The 16,418-nt window shown below is 56.0% G+C and overlaps 2 protein-coding genes across 4 annotated transcripts in view, besides 7 other annotated features; one reads left to right on the top strand and one right to left on the bottom strand.

The window, feature by feature from the left end:
• Positions 1–685: 685 nt before the first annotated feature.
• On the bottom strand, positions 686–3,757 carry LOC124905352 (vegetative cell wall protein gp1-like). Its single transcript, XM_047449429.1, has 3 exons — positions 1,921–3,757; positions 1,733–1,832; positions 686–1,285 (listed from the first exon to the last, which is right to left on the bottom strand). Exons 1-3 carry the CDS (start codon positions 3,745–3,747, stop codon positions 1,164–1,166), a joined length of 2,049 nt encoding a protein of 682 aa, XP_047305385.1. The 5' UTR covers positions 3,748–3,757; the 3' UTR covers positions 686–1,163.
• Positions 2,227–3,032: an enhancer, noted in NCBI's record as "H3K27ac-H3K4me1 hESC enhancer chr3:195543301-195544106 (GRCh37/hg19 assembly coordinates)". NCBI's record gives its function as "activates a minimal SCP1, AML or CMV promoter by ChIP-STARR-seq in primed H9 embryonic stem cells {active_cell/tissue: H9 hESC(primed)}" and the evidence as "EXISTENCE:reporter gene assay evidence [ECO:0000049][PMID:30033119]".
• MUC4 (mucin 4, cell surface associated) overlaps positions 7,533–16,418 on the top strand; it is a 65,159-nt gene continuing 56,273 nt past the window's right edge. For all 3 annotated transcript variants that reach the window (NM_138297.5, NM_004532.6, NM_018406.7), the window contains exon 1: positions 7,533–7,726. In NM_138297.5, coding sequence (NP_612154.2) covers positions 7,645–7,726 — 82 coding nt within the window. In that variant the 5' untranslated portion in view covers positions 7,533–7,644. The remainder of the gene's footprint in view (positions 7,727–16,418) is intronic.
• Positions 9,273–9,836: an enhancer, noted in NCBI's record as "H3K27ac-H3K4me1 hESC enhancer chr3:195536497-195537060 (GRCh37/hg19 assembly coordinates)". NCBI's record gives its function as "activates a minimal SCP1, AML or CMV promoter by ChIP-STARR-seq in naive H9 embryonic stem cells {active_cell/tissue: H9 hESC(naive)}" and the evidence as "EXISTENCE:reporter gene assay evidence [ECO:0000049][PMID:30033119]".
• Positions 9,837–10,400: an enhancer, noted in NCBI's record as "H3K27ac-H3K4me1 hESC enhancer chr3:195535933-195536496 (GRCh37/hg19 assembly coordinates)". NCBI's record gives its function as "activates a minimal SCP1, AML or CMV promoter by ChIP-STARR-seq in naive H9 embryonic stem cells {active_cell/tissue: H9 hESC(naive)}" and the evidence as "EXISTENCE:reporter gene assay evidence [ECO:0000049][PMID:30033119]".
• Positions 12,093–12,656: an enhancer, noted in NCBI's record as "OCT4-NANOG-H3K27ac-H3K4me1 hESC enhancer chr3:195533677-195534240 (GRCh37/hg19 assembly coordinates)". NCBI's record gives its function as "activates a minimal SCP1, AML or CMV promoter by ChIP-STARR-seq in primed H9 embryonic stem cells {active_cell/tissue: H9 hESC(primed)}" and the evidence as "EXISTENCE:reporter gene assay evidence [ECO:0000049][PMID:30033119]".
• Positions 12,657–13,220: an enhancer, noted in NCBI's record as "OCT4-NANOG-H3K27ac-H3K4me1 hESC enhancer chr3:195533113-195533676 (GRCh37/hg19 assembly coordinates)". NCBI's record gives its function as "activates a minimal SCP1, AML or CMV promoter by ChIP-STARR-seq in naive and primed H9 embryonic stem cells {active_cell/tissue: H9 hESC(naive and primed)}" and the evidence as "EXISTENCE:reporter gene assay evidence [ECO:0000049][PMID:30033119]".
• Positions 12,657–13,304: a biological region, named in NCBI's record as "Sharpr-MPRA regulatory region 430".
• Positions 13,010–13,304: a silencer, noted in NCBI's record as "tiled region #430; K562 Repressive DNase unmatched - State 8:EnhW". NCBI's record gives its function as "represses a minimal TATA promoter and a strong SV40 promoter by Sharpr-MPRA in K562 cells {active_cell/tissue: K562}" and the evidence as "EXISTENCE:reporter gene assay evidence [ECO:0000049][PMID:27701403]".

The raw sequence follows: 16,418 nt of genomic DNA, 5'->3' as shown, positions 1-16,418 counted from the left end.
CTCTGCTTCCAGGTTCAGGAAATGATCCTGAACACAGAAGGCACTTTGGGTACAAAGCCTCTGATCCGGGCATTACCTGTAACAGGGACGCCGTGAATAACCCAGTGTCCAAGTTAGTTCAGTTATGGTGGCAGCCAATGCAGTATCACGTGGCCTTCAGAAATGTGTGAATGGAGTTTTATAATAATTGGGGAGACTTTTAGGTTTAAAGCTAGGTCATGGCCCGGCGCAGTGGCTCACGCCTGTAATCCCAGCACTTTGGGAGGCTGAGGCGGGCGGATCACAAGGTCAGGAGTTTGGGACCAGCCTGACCAACATGGTGAAACCCCGTCTCTACTGAAAATACAAAAATTAGCCAGGCATGGGGGCACGAGCCTATAATCCCAGCTACTCGGGAGGCTGAGGCAGGAGAATGGCGTGAACCCAGGAGGCGGAGGTTGCAGTGAGCCAAGATCGCACCACTGCACTCCAGCCTGGGTGACAGAGCGAGACTCTGTCTCAAAATAAATAAATAAATAATAAAAATGAATAAATAAATAAATAAATAAAGTTAGGTGGTAAAGAGGAGATCAAACTATATCTAGGATATGATAGATTTAAACTATGGATATGAGCTATGTATGAGAAACAAGCCAGAAATCTCTCAACGCGTTAATAGGGTTGTTCCTGGGTGGTGAAACATTGATGATGTTTTTCTTCTCTCTACTTTTAAATATTTTCATATCTCTGTGGACAGTGTGCATTACTTTATAATGAAAAAAGAAACCCAGTAAACTTCATTTTAAAAGATGGCTTTCGGCCCGGGTTGGGCTTTCTGTCAGAACCCCGCGTTGGAGAGCTTTGTGGGCCCACCCTCATTCAGTCCCCATGGTGGCCGCATGTACGTGTCCCCTGTGGCAGACGTTCCGCCTGGGAGCAGCGGTCTAACTGGGAGCCAGGAGTGTGCAAAGACAACCGAACAGACGTGGACGCTCGGCAGCAAGACAGAGAGGGCGCTGGAAACCCGGGCTCCGGGACACACCCTGCCGCTCACCGGCTGCGCCAACAAGGACCTCCCTTCTCTCTGGGCCCACACCTCCTCCACGGTAGAATGAGGGCTTCGGATGACATGGTCACCAGGGTCTCTTCCAGTTTTAAAATTATGTTAAGATCCTCTTATTCTTTCAAGCTTTACAAAGGGAAGCCCCACAAAAGGACACAGGTGGCAAATCCGGGGACCTGGATGCTGGGTCACCGACTTCATGTTCTTGCTGACTTCCTGGCCTCGGTTTTCTTCTCCTTAAGGCTGGGTGAATGGAATGAGTTTAGATCCCTGGACCTCCAGGCCCTCCTGTGCCCCGGGGTGGCCCTGCTTCACAGGGATGCCCGTAAGAAGACGTTGCATGCGTAAAAATCATGCCCTGCTCCACCACAGAGGTGAGATGAGACAGGAAATGAGCTAATTGGCGTGAGAATGCTTGGCACTTTTAGGGAAAGGAGAAACCGAATCCCAAGAGAATGACAGTGGCCTTTGTGTGACCCTAGTACCAGGGCCCCTGCTTTCGCCATGGCCTCAGATAGAGGCCACATACAGCAGGTGCTGGGCCCCCAGCCCACCCACCTCCCTGCTTTCACCATGGCCTCGGATAGAGACCACATACAGCAGGTGCCGGGGCCTCCAGCCCGCCCGCCTCCCTGCTGAACCATGGAATAAGGAGCTGCAGAGGAGGAAAGATTTTGGAGTCGTGCTGACCTGGGTCTGAATCCCAGCTCGGAGGGCCTGCTGCCACATCTGTACGTGGGCATCCTCTTTTACGTGAGTGTCTCGGGTCGGGTCCTCCCAGAAGCAAATGCTGAGTTGGTGGAAGGAATGTGAAGGCTATAGGGGAGTGGCACCTGCTTAAGGAGAAGGAGGCCGGGCTGGGCAGGAGGATGTGGCACCTGGTAAGGAGAAGGAGGCCGGGCCGGGCAGGAGGATGTGGCACCTGTGTAAGGAGAACGAGGCCGGGCCGGGCAGGAGGATGTGGCACCTGGTAAGAAGAAGGAGGCTGGGCCGGGCAGGAGGATGTGGCACCTGGTAAGGAGAAGGAGGCCGGGCTGGGCAGGAGGATGTGGCACCTTGTAAGGAGAAGGAGGCCGGGCCGGGCAGGAGGAAGTGGCATCTGTGTAAGGAGAAGGAGGCCAGGCCGGGCAGGAGGATGTGGCACCTGCGTAAGGAGAAGGAGGCCGGGCTGGGCAGGAGGATGTGGCACCTGGTAAGGAGAAGGAGGCCGGGCTGGGCAGGAGGATGTGGTACCTGGTAAGGAGAAGGAGGCCGGGCAGGAGGATGTGGCACCTGCATAAGGAGAAGGAGGCCGGGCCGGGCAGGAGGATGTGGCACCTGGTAAGGAGAAGGAGGCCGGGCAGGAGGATGTGGCACCCGGTAAGGAGAAGGAGGCCGGGCCGGGCAGAAGGATGTGGCACCTGGTAAGGAGAAGGAGGCCGGGCCGGGCAGGAGGATGTGGCATCTGTGTAAGGAGAAGGAGGCCGGGCCGGGCAGGAGGATGTGGCACCTGCGTAAGGAGAAGGAGGCCGGGCTGGGCAGGAGGATGTGGCACCTGGTAAGGAGAAGGAGGCCGGGCTGGGCAGGAGGATGTGGCACCTGGTAAGGAGAAGGAGGCCGGGCAGGAGGATGTGGCACCTGCGTAAGGAGAAGGAGGCCGGGCCGGGCAGGAGGATGTGGCACCTGGTAAGGAGAAGGGCGGAGGCCAGGCTGAGCAGGAGGATGTGGCACCTGGTAAGGAGAAGGGCGGAGGCCAGGCTGGGCAGGAGGATGTGGCACCTCGTAAGGAGAAGGGCGGAGGCCAGGCTGGGCAGGAGGATGTGGCACCTCGTAAGGAGAAGGGCGGAGGCCAGGCTGGGCAGGAGGATGTGGCACCTGGTAAGGAGAACGGCGGAGGCCAGGCTGAGCAGGAGGATGTGGCACCTTGTAAGGAGAAGGGCGGAGGCCAGGCTGAGCAGGAGGATGTGGCACCTGGTAAGGAGAAGGGCGGAGGCCAGGCTGGGCGGAGGATGTGGCACCTGGTAAGGAGAAGGAGGCCGGGCCGGGCAGGAGGATGTGGCATCTGCGTAAGGAGAAGGGCGGAGGCCGGGCTGAGCAGGAGGATGTGGCACCTGTGTAAGGAAAAGGAGGCCGGGCTGGGCAGGAGGATGTGGCACCTGTGTAAGGAGAAGGAGGCCGGGCTGGGCAGGAGGATGTGGCACCTGCGTAAGGAGAAGGAGGCCGGGCTGGGCAGGAGGATGTGGCACCTGCGTAAGGAGAAGGAGGCCGGGCTGGGCAGGAGGATGTGGCACCTGCGTAAGGAGAAGGAGGCCGGGCTGGGCAGGAGGATGTGGCACCTGCGTAAGGAGAAGGAGGCCGGGCTGGGCAGGAGGATGTGGCACCTGCGTAAGGAGAAGGAGGCCGGGCTGGGCAGGAGGATGTGGCACCTGCGTAGGGAGAAGGAGGCCGGGCTGGGCAGGAGGATGTGGCACCTGCGTAAGGAGAAGGAGGCCGGGCTGGGCAGGAGGATGTGGCACCTGCGTAAGGAGAAGGAGGCCGGGCTGGGCAGGAGGATGTGGCACCTGCGTAAGGAGAAGGAGGCCGGGCTGGGCAGGAGGATGTGGCACCTGCGTAAGGAGAAGGAGGCCGGGCTGGGCAGGAGGATGTGGCACCTGTGTAAGAAGAAGGAGGCCGGGCTGGGCAGGAGGATGTGGCACAGCTGACACAGCCACAAAGCTCCTGCCCATGGGGCGCTCTGAGGGGCAGACTGCCTGTTGGCGGAGTCTTGTGGGGTGGAAATGGTGAGGTCACTGTGATGCCACTTTGCTTAGTCATCGGCCACAGGGTCACCTGGAGAAGAGCATGAGCTCAGCATAAAAGCAAGGCCCACCCTGCAGGGGCCAGCAGCTGGGAGCTGTCCACTAACCACTATCCTTGCAGCTGGACAGCGAGGCCCCTCCAAAAGGCCGTCTCCACCTGCCACCGGGAAAGGACCCGGAGCGAAGGATGTCGTGGGCGGTCAGCCCAGGTGATTGCCCTTCTTTTGCTTTGGAGCCAGGCAGAACAGAGCTCAAATTCCAGCTTTGGGACAGTGTGTGGCCCAGAAGGCTGTAACTGCGGAGTTAACACTCTCCAGTTTCCCTAGATGGCCCGACCTGGCCGGTGACTCGGGGATGATGAAGCTCCTGGAGCCTCAGCGTGCTCACTTGAGAGGTAGGGCAGCGCTTTGTACTTCACAGGGCCATGGGGACAGGCTCAGGGCCTGGCACTCTAGTGACCGGCTTCATGCTGGGTCACTGACTAGGGAATCCACACACCTTTTTAGTCCAGACTGAGTAGGTAAATCAGACTTAATAAACATCCAGCTTCCTGCTCGAGATCAGCCTAGTTGTCCTAAGTCTGACAAGATTGAACTTTATTCACAGCACGAGGCATAAATGATATAAAGGTAAGCAATTTTAGGGGACCCAAAAAACTAGGGACTCCTACTTGGGTAGCTTAGAAGGGGAATCTCTCTTGGAGATCCTGGCTTTGCTGCCTCAAACCCAGCTGTCTCTTCAAGCCAAGTCTGGGAGAATCTCATGATCTTATCCTTGCTCCAATTTACTTACACCCCACATCCACACTAAGCTCTTCCTGCCTCCCGTGGAATATTAACTTACACCTGACTTCAGACTCCTGCCCCTATGCAGACCCAGCAGTATGCGGGCCTAGGAGGTTTTTCGGCCACAAGGAACTAGAGAAGCCACTCATTTTGTCCCCTCTCATTCACCCCATTCTGTCCCCATCGGATGCCTTGGGAGGAGAGAAGGAAGGACAAATGGGTGTCCCGTGACCCAACCCAGATGAAGACAGAGCCATTTATCACAGAGACCCAGACACATCCTAACTCTGGAAAATGGGCATATTGAGGGGAGCTGGAAAGCAGAAGGGAAACGGGCGTGGGCAGGGAAGAGGTGAACAGGAGTGCGCACGCCCAGTTCTCCAGGATCTCACGCTCCTAATCAGGATCCTATAAGACTCAAAGGGGACGCAGGAAAGACCTGGGCCTGGAAATTCACTTCCGGACTCCTCCTGTATCCTGGCTGGCCCTCGTTTGTGTCTCCCTCCAGGGATGATGCCCGGATGGAAGGAGGAGCCACGTTCCTCCACAGGTGTCCTCCACAACAGGTGTCCTCACAACAGGTGTCGTAACAACAGGTGTCCTCACAACAGGTGTCCTAATACTCCCGCAGCCCCTCAGCATCTACAGGCTCACTCCCACCCTACAACCTTTCAGATAGGTGTTATCCCCATTTTACAGGTGAACGAGGAAAACAGCTCGAAGAGGCTGTGACTTTGTGGTGACGCGGTGGCAGAGCTGGGATCAAGCCCAGGTTTGTAACGCCCTCCTGGAGTCTCGGCCGTCACAGCAGCTTCCGGAGAGCGCTGTGTGCCTCTGGCCTTCCTGGCATGGGAAAGAGGTCAGCTACCTGTGTTCGGTCAACAAGATGTCCAGCGCTTAGTTTGGTCTCACCTGGATGCTCCTTTCTCCTCTAGAGATGGAAAACTGTTGTCCTGAAAGCGTCACCAAACAAAACCTGTGGAAAGGTAATGGGGGGACCCACGAGCAAGAGCTGACAGAAAAATGACCACGGGCCGGGTGCAGTGGCTCACGCCTGTAATCCCAGCACTTTGGGAGGCCAAGGCGGGCGGATCATCTGAGTTCAGGGGTTCGAGACCAACCTGGCCAACATGGTGAAACCTCGTCCCTACTAAAAATACAAAAAAAATTAGCCGGGCGTGGTGGCAGGTGCCTGTAGTCCCAGCTACTAGGGAGGCTGAGGCAGGGGAATGGCGTGAACCCGGGAGGCGGAGCTTGCAGTGAGCTGAGATGGTGCCACTGCACTCCAGCCTGGGCGACAGAGCAAGACTCCATCTCAAAAAAAAAAAAAAGTGCAAAATGATCACGAAGGCCAAGCTGGGCCTTGGTGTCTGCGAATTCCCTGCAGTAGGTCCCTCCTGCTGCCCCGTCCAGGCGCCCACAGGATGCTCCACATGACTCTTTACCTTTATGATTTTCTTACCTCCAGGAAAGAACAGGGTCAGCTCGTCCACCCAGAGCTGGAGGGACTGTTGGGGGACCACGCCACTTCCCCACGGTATCCGCATTATTATGGCGTGGCCCAGGCTTTGGCCTGGGGCCATGAACAGACTTTCAGCTTCTAGAAGCAAGTGGTCACAGGGCCTCCGTGACCCTCGGAGACAGCGCCACAGCGTCGGTTGCCTACTCCTTGCTGGACAAGGCTGGCTCTGCTTGGGAATGCAGAAACCCTGAGTCCTTGTCCTGGGCCCCACAGTGTCTGAGCATCGAAGGTCCCTGCTCTGGGACGAGTCACCCCACAGACACCCCACATTCGGGAATCAAGTCTTGAGGAATCAGAAGCAGAGATTCACACTGTGGCAAAGAGGGGAGCGGAGGTATCCCCGTTTTCCTTTGCAGAGAGCTACACCAACTGCCCTCTTCGTCTTTACAACCCTACTTGGGGTCCCTTTCCCTCCTCGCTTGTGCCTGTGAGTTCCAAGAGGTGGAACTGGGGTGAGCAGAGCCCCCAGGTCTCCAGGAGCAGCTCCACCTCCTCACAGGTTACAGTCGCTTCCTCCTACCGAGGTTCTGCCTTCAACCCACTGCCCATGCCAGCTCCCTCAGGCCAGTCTCCCAGACTGTCCCTGGCTCCCTGCACCCTGGCTCCAGCTCCCTGCCCTGGAAAGAAGAAGTCCACCATCTGGTGAGGGTCTGCCACGCATCTGGGGTCTGCCATGCGTCTGCACTGAGGTTCTGCCACGAGTCTGCACTGAGGTTCTGCCATGCGTCTGGAGTCTGCCACGCGTCTGGGGTCTGCCACGCGTCTGGAGTCTGCCATGGGTCTGGGGTCTGCCATGTGTCTGGGATCTGCCGTGCGTCTGGGGTCTGCCACGCATCTGCACTGAGGTTCTGCCACGCGTCTGGGGTCTGCCACGCGTCTGGGGTCTGCCACGCGTCTGGGGTCTGCCACGCGCCTGCACTGAGCAGATATTCCAAGCACACCACCCCTTTCCAAAAGACGGCATACAGTGCATTTCTGTTCCTGCCCCTCACCCACATGGTTCCCCGCTTCCCAATTCCTTGGGGTCTGCTTAAGTCTCACTCTCTTTCCCCCATTCATACAGCCCCAAGGTCGCTCCCTCTGGGGCCCTTTCTTCCCCATTCTTCCCAGCAGCCCAAAGCTCTGGTGGGACAGGGGCAGCCCCTGGGGAGGGAGGAGAGGACCCAGGAACCCGGCTAGGAGGGTGGCCCACCCATTTCCAGTGTGACCTGTTCCCATTCCCCCATGTCTCCTCCCATCCCTCCCGCCACTCAGCTCAGGCTGATGAGAAGCAGAGCAACGGGTGTATCGGTGTTTTCTTTCCTGGTGGGGTAGTGGGGTGGGGCTGAGGAGAGAAAAGGGTGATTAGCGTGGGGCCCCGCCCTCTTTTGTCCTCTTCCCAGGTTCCCTGGCCCCTTCGGAGAAACGCACTTGGTTCGGGCCAGCCGCCTGAGGGGACGGGCTCACGTCTGCTCCTCACACTGCAGCTGCTGGGCCGTGGAGCTTCCCCAGGGAGCCAGGGGGACTTTTGCCGCAGCCATGAAGGGGGCACGCTGGAGGAGGGTCCCCTGGGTGTCCCTGAGCTGCCTGTGTCTCTGCCTCCTTCCGCATGTGGTCCCAGGTAAGTGATGGAGACAGCAGATGAGGCTGGCTGCGGGGAGCACTTGGGGGAGGTGGGAGCTGTCAGAGAAAGAGGTCCGGGGAGACAGAGAGAGAGAGAGAGAGAATAGGGGAAAGGGAGACAGCGAAGAGGAAGAGAAGGGAGAGAAAAAGAGGGAGAGGGAAAGGAGAAAGAGATGAATGGGACAACATGGGGGGAAGGTGGAGAGAGACCCAGAGAGGGAAAGAAGAGGAAGAGAAGAGGGAGAGAGAAAGAAGAGTGGAGGCCGTGCGCGGTGGCTCATGCCTGTAATCCCAGCACTTTCGGAGGCCAAGGCAGGAGATCACCTGAGGTCAGGAGTTCGAGACCAGCCTGGCCGACATGGTGAAACCCCGTCTCTACTAAATATACAAAAATTAGCCGGTCGTGGTGGGCCCCACCTGTAATTCCAGCTACTCAGGAGTCTGAGGCAGGAGAATCACTTGAACCTGGGAGGTGGAGGTTGCAGTGAGCCAAGATCGCGCCACTGCACTCCAGCCTGGGAGAGAGAGCGAGACTCTGTCTCAAAATAAATAAATAAATAAATAAATAAATAAATAAATAAATAAATATAAAATAAAATAAAAAATAAGAAGAGGAGAAAAGTGGGGAAGAGGAGGCATGAACTGGCAGATACGGGACAAGATCTGAGGGGAAAGACAGAGGGAGAATGCTCGAAAGAGAGAGAAAAGAGAACAGAGGGCCAGAGAGCAGCCCGGCGATGTCTGGAAGGATCCATGGTGAGAGCCCAGGCTTACTCGCAGAGAGAAAGACAGGCAGAGCCAGAGCAAGAGGAACAGAGTCAAGGAGAAAGATGTACACCCTTGTGTACAGAGCTGGGGGTAGAGGGGATGCCAGGAAAGCTGGGTGATGGAGACGGAAGAAAACTCATGTAAAGCTGCAGGGTGAGAGGACGAGACAGGTGAGACGCAGACAAACTGAGGACCCTGGGAATGGAGAGAGGAGAAGATCGGGAGACAGCAGCAAGCAAGGGAAGCGACAAGGAGGAGAGGGGCAGGCCGGCCGGGAGGGTGGTGCGGAGGAGGCGGCCAGGGCGCAGAGGGCCGGGAGGTGCTGGCCGTGGGCTTCTTACCTCTGAGCTCGGGTTTAAAAGCCTCCATTTGGGTCACGGCCTTGCCTGGGGCTCGTAGCCCCGGCATTGGCCTTGGGCTCCTCCGTGTACAGAGCTGGGAGGGGAGGGATGCCAGGCCTGTGGGAGATGTTCCCTCGGGGGCCCCCGTCCTCTTCCCCACACTTTCCAGGCTGTCCCTCTGGCTTCAGGACCAAGTTTTATTCTGTGTTTCTGGGTGTCTGAGTCTTTGGGGGAGAGTCTGGGGTCCAGAGTTCAAGCTGGGGTTAGAGTCTCAGCTCCTGCCCTGCCTCTCAGCAGGCTAAGAACAGTCGCCGAGGGAAAATATTTCTTGGGCGCATATTTGAGGAGCTTCCTGGGAGTGAGTCAGAAGGCGAGTGCCGTTTAAAGGCTGCAAGAGAAGCCATGCTGGTGAAGCGGACCCTTCCACCTCGGGATGTTTCAGGACTAGGCTGAGGGCAAAGGAAACTGCCACCACCTCCCTACACCTCCCCACCCTCCAGCACCCCCACCCCACCCTGGCCACACAACCCCGCTCCAGTGCTCATCCCACCGTGAGGACGTGGAGGCCGGAAGGAGCCGCCACACGGCCCTGCCCTGCAGATGTGGTTGAAGGAGTCTCCACGGGAATCATGACTCCCAGAGCGAGGCTGGGGCTTGGGGCGCCGGGGAGGCAGCTTGGATTTAGGAGCCCCAGGGCCAAGTCTTTGCCGTGAACTGTTCTGGCCCCTGTGACCAGGCCCTGCCCCGTGTCTCCCCAGGGCCCCGGTCCCCTGTGTAAAAAGCAGTGGTGAACGGTTGGACCTCCTGACGCCCAAGTTCTTGAGTTTCCAAATCTGTGATTTAAAGCTGAGCCCAAATGTGCTGGGTACCAGCTGGACACTCAGCTCCATGTGGAGCCAGGAAGTGGGGTCTGTGGAGAGGAGCGCAGAGGGGCAAGACCTGGGGTGGGCGTGGAAAAGCACGGGGGCGTGACCCGGAGAAGGAGTGAAGGACTGTTGGTGTGCAAGGGCGTCTCCATGACGACCCGAAGAAGCTAGGCATGTCGTGGAGCGCTGAGTCCTTTGCGTCGCTAAGGGGACCAAGTGGAGCTGGGCCAGGAGAGGAGATGGTCGTGGCTGGGAGATGGCACCCACACATCTGACCGGGCATGACCAGGGCCTTGGCAGGAAAAGCAGTCACCAAGGGCGGGTGGGCAGCCCCCACCCCCACAGGGCAGCTGCTGGAGGACTGGCAGCCAGCCAGCCCCGTTCCTTTTGGCTCCCTGAAGGGGTTTACAGATGACCTGCCTATACTTGAGTCTAGGGTCTGTTTGCACACTTGCCGGCAGGACCCTCACCCAGGCTGGGTCACACTGAAGCCCAGGCCAGAGGAAAAACACAGGGTTTCCACAAAGGAGCTGCCGCAATGAGGGTTTCCTTAAGGAACAGCCCTGGCTCTCAAGGGTTAAAGGATAAGGCACAGCAGACAGAGGTGGGCTAGACAAGGACAGATGGAAATTTGGTGTCTACTGGTCGCCCCAGGCAGGAATGACTCAGAAGGAAGCCTGGCCGTCCTGGTTCCATGCCACAGGGAAAGGCAACTGGGTCGAAATAGGCCTTGGTCTCCAGCACTATCAGTGACCCCAGGGAGGTGACAGGCTGGAGCAAGTGCAGGGCAGGCAGGGGAGGGGACGCCGGCCACAGCGCACTCCACGGGGAAGGGTCTTTATGGGCCCCTCCTCGGAGAACCCCCGGTCTATCTGTCAGTCTGGGACAGGCCACCTCAACTTGCCACCGAGGACACCAAAACTCTCCACAGACCCCTCTGCCCCTCTGGGAAACCCCACTGTGCTCCAGGACACTCAAAAGGAAAGGATCCCTGGACAAGAGGTCCTGCCAGGAACATCAGCCAAATTTTGGCCAACGACCAGCAAGGTGCACAGGGAAGAGCAGGGGCTGAAACTCAGAGGTCCAGCATCAGCGACGCCCTTGGCAGCCCAGGGAACACAGGCAACGCCTTTTGGCTCTGGAGTCTTAGGCTCTTCATCGGCAAACTGAGCCCAGGGGGAAGGGGCTACTACGTAGGGTTGTCATGAGGATGAAACGAGACAGCATCTGGTGTAAAGTAGAAAAGGCATAAAGGGCCGGGCGCGGTGGCTCACGCTGTAATCCCAGCACTTTTGGAGGCCCAGGCGGGTGGATCACCTGAGGTCAGGAGTTCAAGACCAGCTTGGCCAACCCTGTCTCCACTAAAAATAAAAAATTTTGCCGGGCGTGGTGGCGAGCGCCTGTAATTCCAGCTACTCGGGAGGCTGAGGTAGGAGAATGGCTTGAACCTGGGAGGCAGAGGTTGCAGGGAGCCGAAATGGCAGCACTCTAGCTTGGGTGACAGAGCAAGACTCTGTCTAAAAAAAAAAGAAAAGCCATAAAGACGTGTTTGAGAAAGAGGCCTGGGAAGACGGGGGAAGGAGGGTGATTGAACCCGGAATGGCACTTGTGTCGGCCCAGGGTCATATCCCTTCATCTAAGGATCCTCGTGCCTCTAAAAAGCCACCCCGTGCTTCCTGTGGGTTTGCAAGGGCTGGCTTGGTGTATTCAGAATGTGGCTTGCTGCATGAACGGACCCCGAGGGCCATGGCCCTAGAGCAGGGGCTCGCTCCAGCGGACAGCTCTGCCTCACCGCTCCCTGCCTGTGAGTCCCGCCACGCCCTTGGTTTCTGGGCTCAGCCGTGGAGGCAGAGGCTGGCCTGGCAGAGGCTGGCCTGGCAGTGCTTGACACGCAAGTGATTTGTGTCTTCATTGCTAAGGACAAGAGGCAATGAGAGGACAAGAAGTGGTTGGCCTTTTGTACGCTCAACGGGTGGTTTTGCTACTCTGTGTCTTTTCTCTGATTTCACGGTGCTGTTAAGTGCTTAAAATATGCACATCGTGTAGCTCACAGAGCCACTTCTCTGAAGGCCAGGACAGAGACCTTATAGGCTCTCTCTCCCCCTAGTTTCAGCCTTTTACCTTAAATATACGTCTTTCTTACTGCTAGGCTGAGTTCCCGCCCCAGCATGTTCTGAGAAATTGAGTCAAAATAACTGAGTCTGTTGGCACCTCATCGACGATTTCTTCATAGACGGTTTTTTTATTGTTGCTGTTGTTGTTGGTTTTTTGGGTTTGTTTGTTTGTTTTTTGAGACAGAGTTTCTCTCTGTCCCCCAGGCTGCAGTGCAGTGGCGTGGTCTCAGCTCAGTGCAGCCTCTGCCTCCCGGGTTCAAGAGATTCTCCTGCCTCAGCCTCCCGAGTAGCTGGGATTATAGACGCCCAACACCACAGCGGCTAATGTTTGTATTTTTAGTAGAGATGGGGTTTCACCATGTTGGCCAGGCTGGTCTCGAACTCCTGACCTCAGGTGATCCGCTCGCCTCGGCTCCCAAAGTGCTGGGATTATAGGCGTGAGCTACTGTGCCTGGCCCTACTTCATAGAGGTTTAAATGCCTTTTCACCCTTTTCCTGGAGACTCTGAAGAAGTCTCAGGAACTGGGCATTTGTGTTGCACGTGAGGCCTTGCAATGGCGGCCCTGCTTGGAGGAAGGGCACTGGCCTGGGTTGCCCGCAGCTCCACTCCCCGTGTATGTGTTTAGGGACCACAGAGGACAGACATCGACTCTCTGTAGAGATGCCGCCCCGCCCAGGTTGCAGTTTAGGTTCCAAAAGTCCAGTGGCCAGTGGATTTTGGGGGAATTTGGAATAAGAAACAGCCTAGACTTTGGAGTTGTTCATTCACTTGCAGAATTTCTACTCATGCCAGCTGCTCTGGACAGGAAGATGAATGCGTCACAGTTCCTGCTTTTCAAAGCTCTCTAAGTTAAGTGACTTGTTTAAGATCATAGAACCCATAAGTGAGGCAGCTGGGACTAGAACCCAGGTCTCCTGACTCACTGCAGCACACAGCCTTTCGGCAATCTCCAAACCAGCCCAGCCCACCGACGGAGGGAAGAACAGAAGCATTCACACACCCTGCTGAGACAGCCATTCATTCATTCATTTGTTAATTAAACCACCATTTAGGAAACGCCTGCCTTAAGTTCCTGACATTGTTCTAGGACACAGCACTGGATGCACACAGTGAAGAGTGAAACAGACGTGGCCCAGTCTCTTGGCACTAAAATCTTGGTGCAGACAGACATCAAATAATTACGGAAATGTTCTCAACTGCACATGTGGTAAATGCAGTGTGGAAAAGTACAGGGTGTGCTGAGAGCTGCATTTCGAATGGCCAGAGAGTAGGGGAGGTGCATCTGACTGACAAGTCAGGAAGGGCCCTGTGAGGAACCGTTCTGCGGGGAGCTGAGGCCTGAGGCTGAGGACAGCCAGGTGGAGAAGGTGCCAGGCCTGAGCAGGCAGAGGCGGAGCTCATGGAGAGGCAGGAAAGAGCTTGGCCCCTTGGAGGACTTGAAAGAGAAGGCAGGTGTTAGATCGCGCAGGGCTTTGCAAGCTGTGGAATAGATTATGAATTTTATGTTATTTTATTTATTTATATTTTTGAGACAGAGTCTCACTGTGTCACCCAGGCTGAAGTGCTGTGGCGTTATCTCGGCTCACTGCAACCTCTGCCTCCAGGGTTCAAGGGATTCTCGTGCCTCAGCCCCCCGAGTAGCTGGGATCACAGGCACATGCCACCATGCTCTGCTGATTTTTGTATTTTTAGTAGAAATGGGGTTTTGCCATGTTGGTCAGGCTAGTCTCGAACTCCTGACCTCAAGTGATCTGCTTACCTTGGCCTCCCAAAGTGCTGGGATTACCAGTGTGAGCCACTGCGCCCGGCCCAGATTATGGATTTTGAGTAATTGAAATGACAGACAAGGCCAGGCACAGTGACTCATGGCTGTCATCCCAGCACTCTGGGAAGCTGAAGCGGGCAGATCACTTGAGGTCAGGAGTTTGAGACCAGACTGGCCAACATGGCAAAACCCCGTCTCTACTAAAAATACAAAAATTAGCAGGAGATGGTGGTGGGCACCTGTAATCCCAGCTACTCAGGAGGCTGAGGCAGGAGAAGCACTTGATTCCAACTGGGATCACAGGCACACACCACCACACCAGGACAGCCCGAGGCTAACCACTGTGGAGAGGCAGCCAGGCTCCTGAGGACAGCGCTAGGCTAGGAGGATGTGCCTGCCCCAGTGGGAGCCAGGAGAGATGGGTGGCAACACCAAGATGGTGGAGACTGGAGATGGCACCTCCGAGAAGGAGGCGTTGGGGAAAAGAGAGTTGAGCTGGCCGGCGTGCTGTGCTCACAGCCGGATTTTGGTGCTTCTTGGTTTGGTGCTGGAGCTTCTGTGGCGATCACCAGAGTGGCTGGGTGCTGCCACACCAGATGCTGACAGAAATGAGGTCAAATGACCGGTGGTGGGATCCATGGGTTGGGGTGTGACTTCGGCGGGGATCGTTGGAAAGAACGGGTAAAGTTCTCGCCTTGGAGTCCACTGTGAAGGGACTTGAACCTGGGAGGTGGAGGTTACAGTGAGCTGAGATCGCACCACTGCACTCCTGCCTGGGCGACAGAGCGAGACTCCATCTCAAAAAAAAAAAAGATAAAGATAAAGAAACAGGCAACGTCACCCTCTCTCCAGCCTCGGCTGAAGGCAACAAAGGCCACAGGGCCTGGGATGTATTCCACAGATGTGTACGAAGTCACTGCTGTATGCCAAGTCTCGTTTCAGGCGCTGGAGATCACAAGAGGTCTGTTATTCCAAGGGTATCTTGAGTTAGTGTCTTTCCTCATCTTGAATTCTAGGGAAGTACCCAGTGGACACAACCCTGGTCACAGTTGATTCTGGGCTGATACACAAATAGCATTAGCTCCCTGCCAAAGGCGGTGGGGCCAGCGGTTCAGCGTCTGCGCGCCTTCCGGGCCGCCTGCTGCCTGTGTGGGGCTGAATGTTCTCCTCAAGGCCATCCTTACCGTTGGGCACTTCCCTTGGGCTTACACTGCCCTGCCCGAGGCAGCCTGGCAAGGGGCCCCACCCGTCAGGAAGTAATTCCCCTCCAGGAAAGTGAAACACTGTGGCGATACGGCTTACGGGTTCCTCACCTCCAGTTCCAGGAAAAACCCAAGACAAACAGACCAGATGCTAGGAATAAGCCTCAACCCACAGCACTTAGAAAGCCGCAGGCTTTGTGTGTCTTCAGGGAGTGGCTTCACCCTTCTTGGAATCTGTCTTCTGCCAGCGTCACTCATACTGCTGCCACTCCTTCTCCCGAGCCAACAGCACACCTGTCACCTCGGCACACCTGTGGAGTCACCAGAGGGGCCATCTGGGGAAAACGATGCCTACTGCCACTCGGCCTTCACATCCTGGAGCCCTAACAGACGTGAGGCAGCTGTGGGCCGTCTCCCACCTGACGTGGTTCAAGGAGAGAAAAGAACTACCTTGATGGGAGATCTCTGGCTGACGTGATGGCAGAGGCTTGACAGAGCCTTCAAGGACTCAGATGTGGGGAACGTCTCTACCTCAGTGCCAACGCCAGTGCCCTCCTCGTCCCTGGATGGAGACTCTTCCTCTGAGAGAATGTCTTAAAAACTATCCGTTTTACTCAATGACACACGTGTGTCTTCTCACAGTGATCTTGTCACCTTAAGGTGTCAACAGCCTTCACACTCACTCTAACATCATCCCAGAAAAGAGACACCAGGAACATTGCAAAAACACCCCAGTGTCACAGCGTCCACCCCGAGAATGTGCCTGGCTCGGCCTCAGGCTCAGAGCCCTCTGCATGTGGCAGTCCAAGAACTTGGGGCAGGTCAGTGACCATTTCTCCATCTTTGCCTCAGCTCTCCATCCACTCGGTGGCAGTCCCAGAGCTGAGCAGCTCGCAGCTTCCGAGCAATGGCTCTTACCCCGAGCCCCCGGCCCTGCTACTTCCAAGGCATATAATATCACTCGGTCTCTTCAAATCTCAATTTCCCTGCCTGTGAAATGGGGCCGCTGAATCTCGATTTCCCCGCCTGTGAAATGGGGCCGCTATTAACAAGATAAGCTATAAAGCACCACATGAACATGAGCTGTGAACATTTGTATTATTCATAGAGTCATAACGTGCCTACGAGAGAAGTAAAAAGAAGCCCCACCTCCCTGGTGTGTTCATCACAAGTCAGCTGACCCTCAGTCACTCGACCCAGCGCAGATGCGGAGGCTCTCGCTGCTTGCAGAGAGTTTATATTATATTAAACGGATAGTTTAATTCATAAGGTCTGGTAGGAAGAACGTGAATTTATTAACCAAAACTAGTAAAGGGGAAGCAGCCAGATTTCTACTTAAAGTAGCTGCTTTAATTTTCAGAGGGGAAAGCCTTGATAAGGAAGGCACGCAAGAATCGGGCTGAGTCCTGTGTCCGCATGTCTTGTTCTGGTGGCTCTTCTGGGTCCCAGTCCGTCCGGACCTCTGGCTGACATTATTTTAACAAGAGCTGTCTTGAAGTAATTTCTGGGATTTTGCAGCTGGATTTTCAGATGTGGTTTGTCTCTCTCAAGGTTTTAGCCCCTGCAACTTTTAGGAAGACATATAATTCGATCCTCGCACGCAGAGAAATGGAAGGGAGTATATACAGACAGT

This window comes from Homo sapiens, chromosome 3 (genome assembly GCF_000001405.40).
Source record: "Homo sapiens chromosome 3, GRCh38.p14 Primary Assembly".
NCBI classification, from domain to species: Eukaryota; Metazoa; Chordata; class Mammalia; order Primates; family Hominidae; genus Homo; species Homo sapiens.
This window is presented reverse-complemented; position numbering and strand designations above follow the sequence as displayed.

Bases quoted from the DNA above. Each gene is read 5' to 3' on its own strand.
- LOC124905352 (XM_047449429.1), bottom strand. From the start codon at position 3,747: ATGGGCAGGAGCTTTGTGGCTGTGTCAGCTGTGCCACATCCTCCTGCC. The intron at 1,833-1,920 runs GTGCCACATCCT...CCACCAACTCAG, and splicing joins GGCCTCCTTCTCCTTACCAG to CATTTGCTTCTGGGAGGACC. The intron at 1,286-1,732 runs GTCAGCACGACT...CCATTCACCCAG, and splicing joins GAGCTGGGATTCAGACCCAG to CCTTAAGGAGAAGAAAACCG.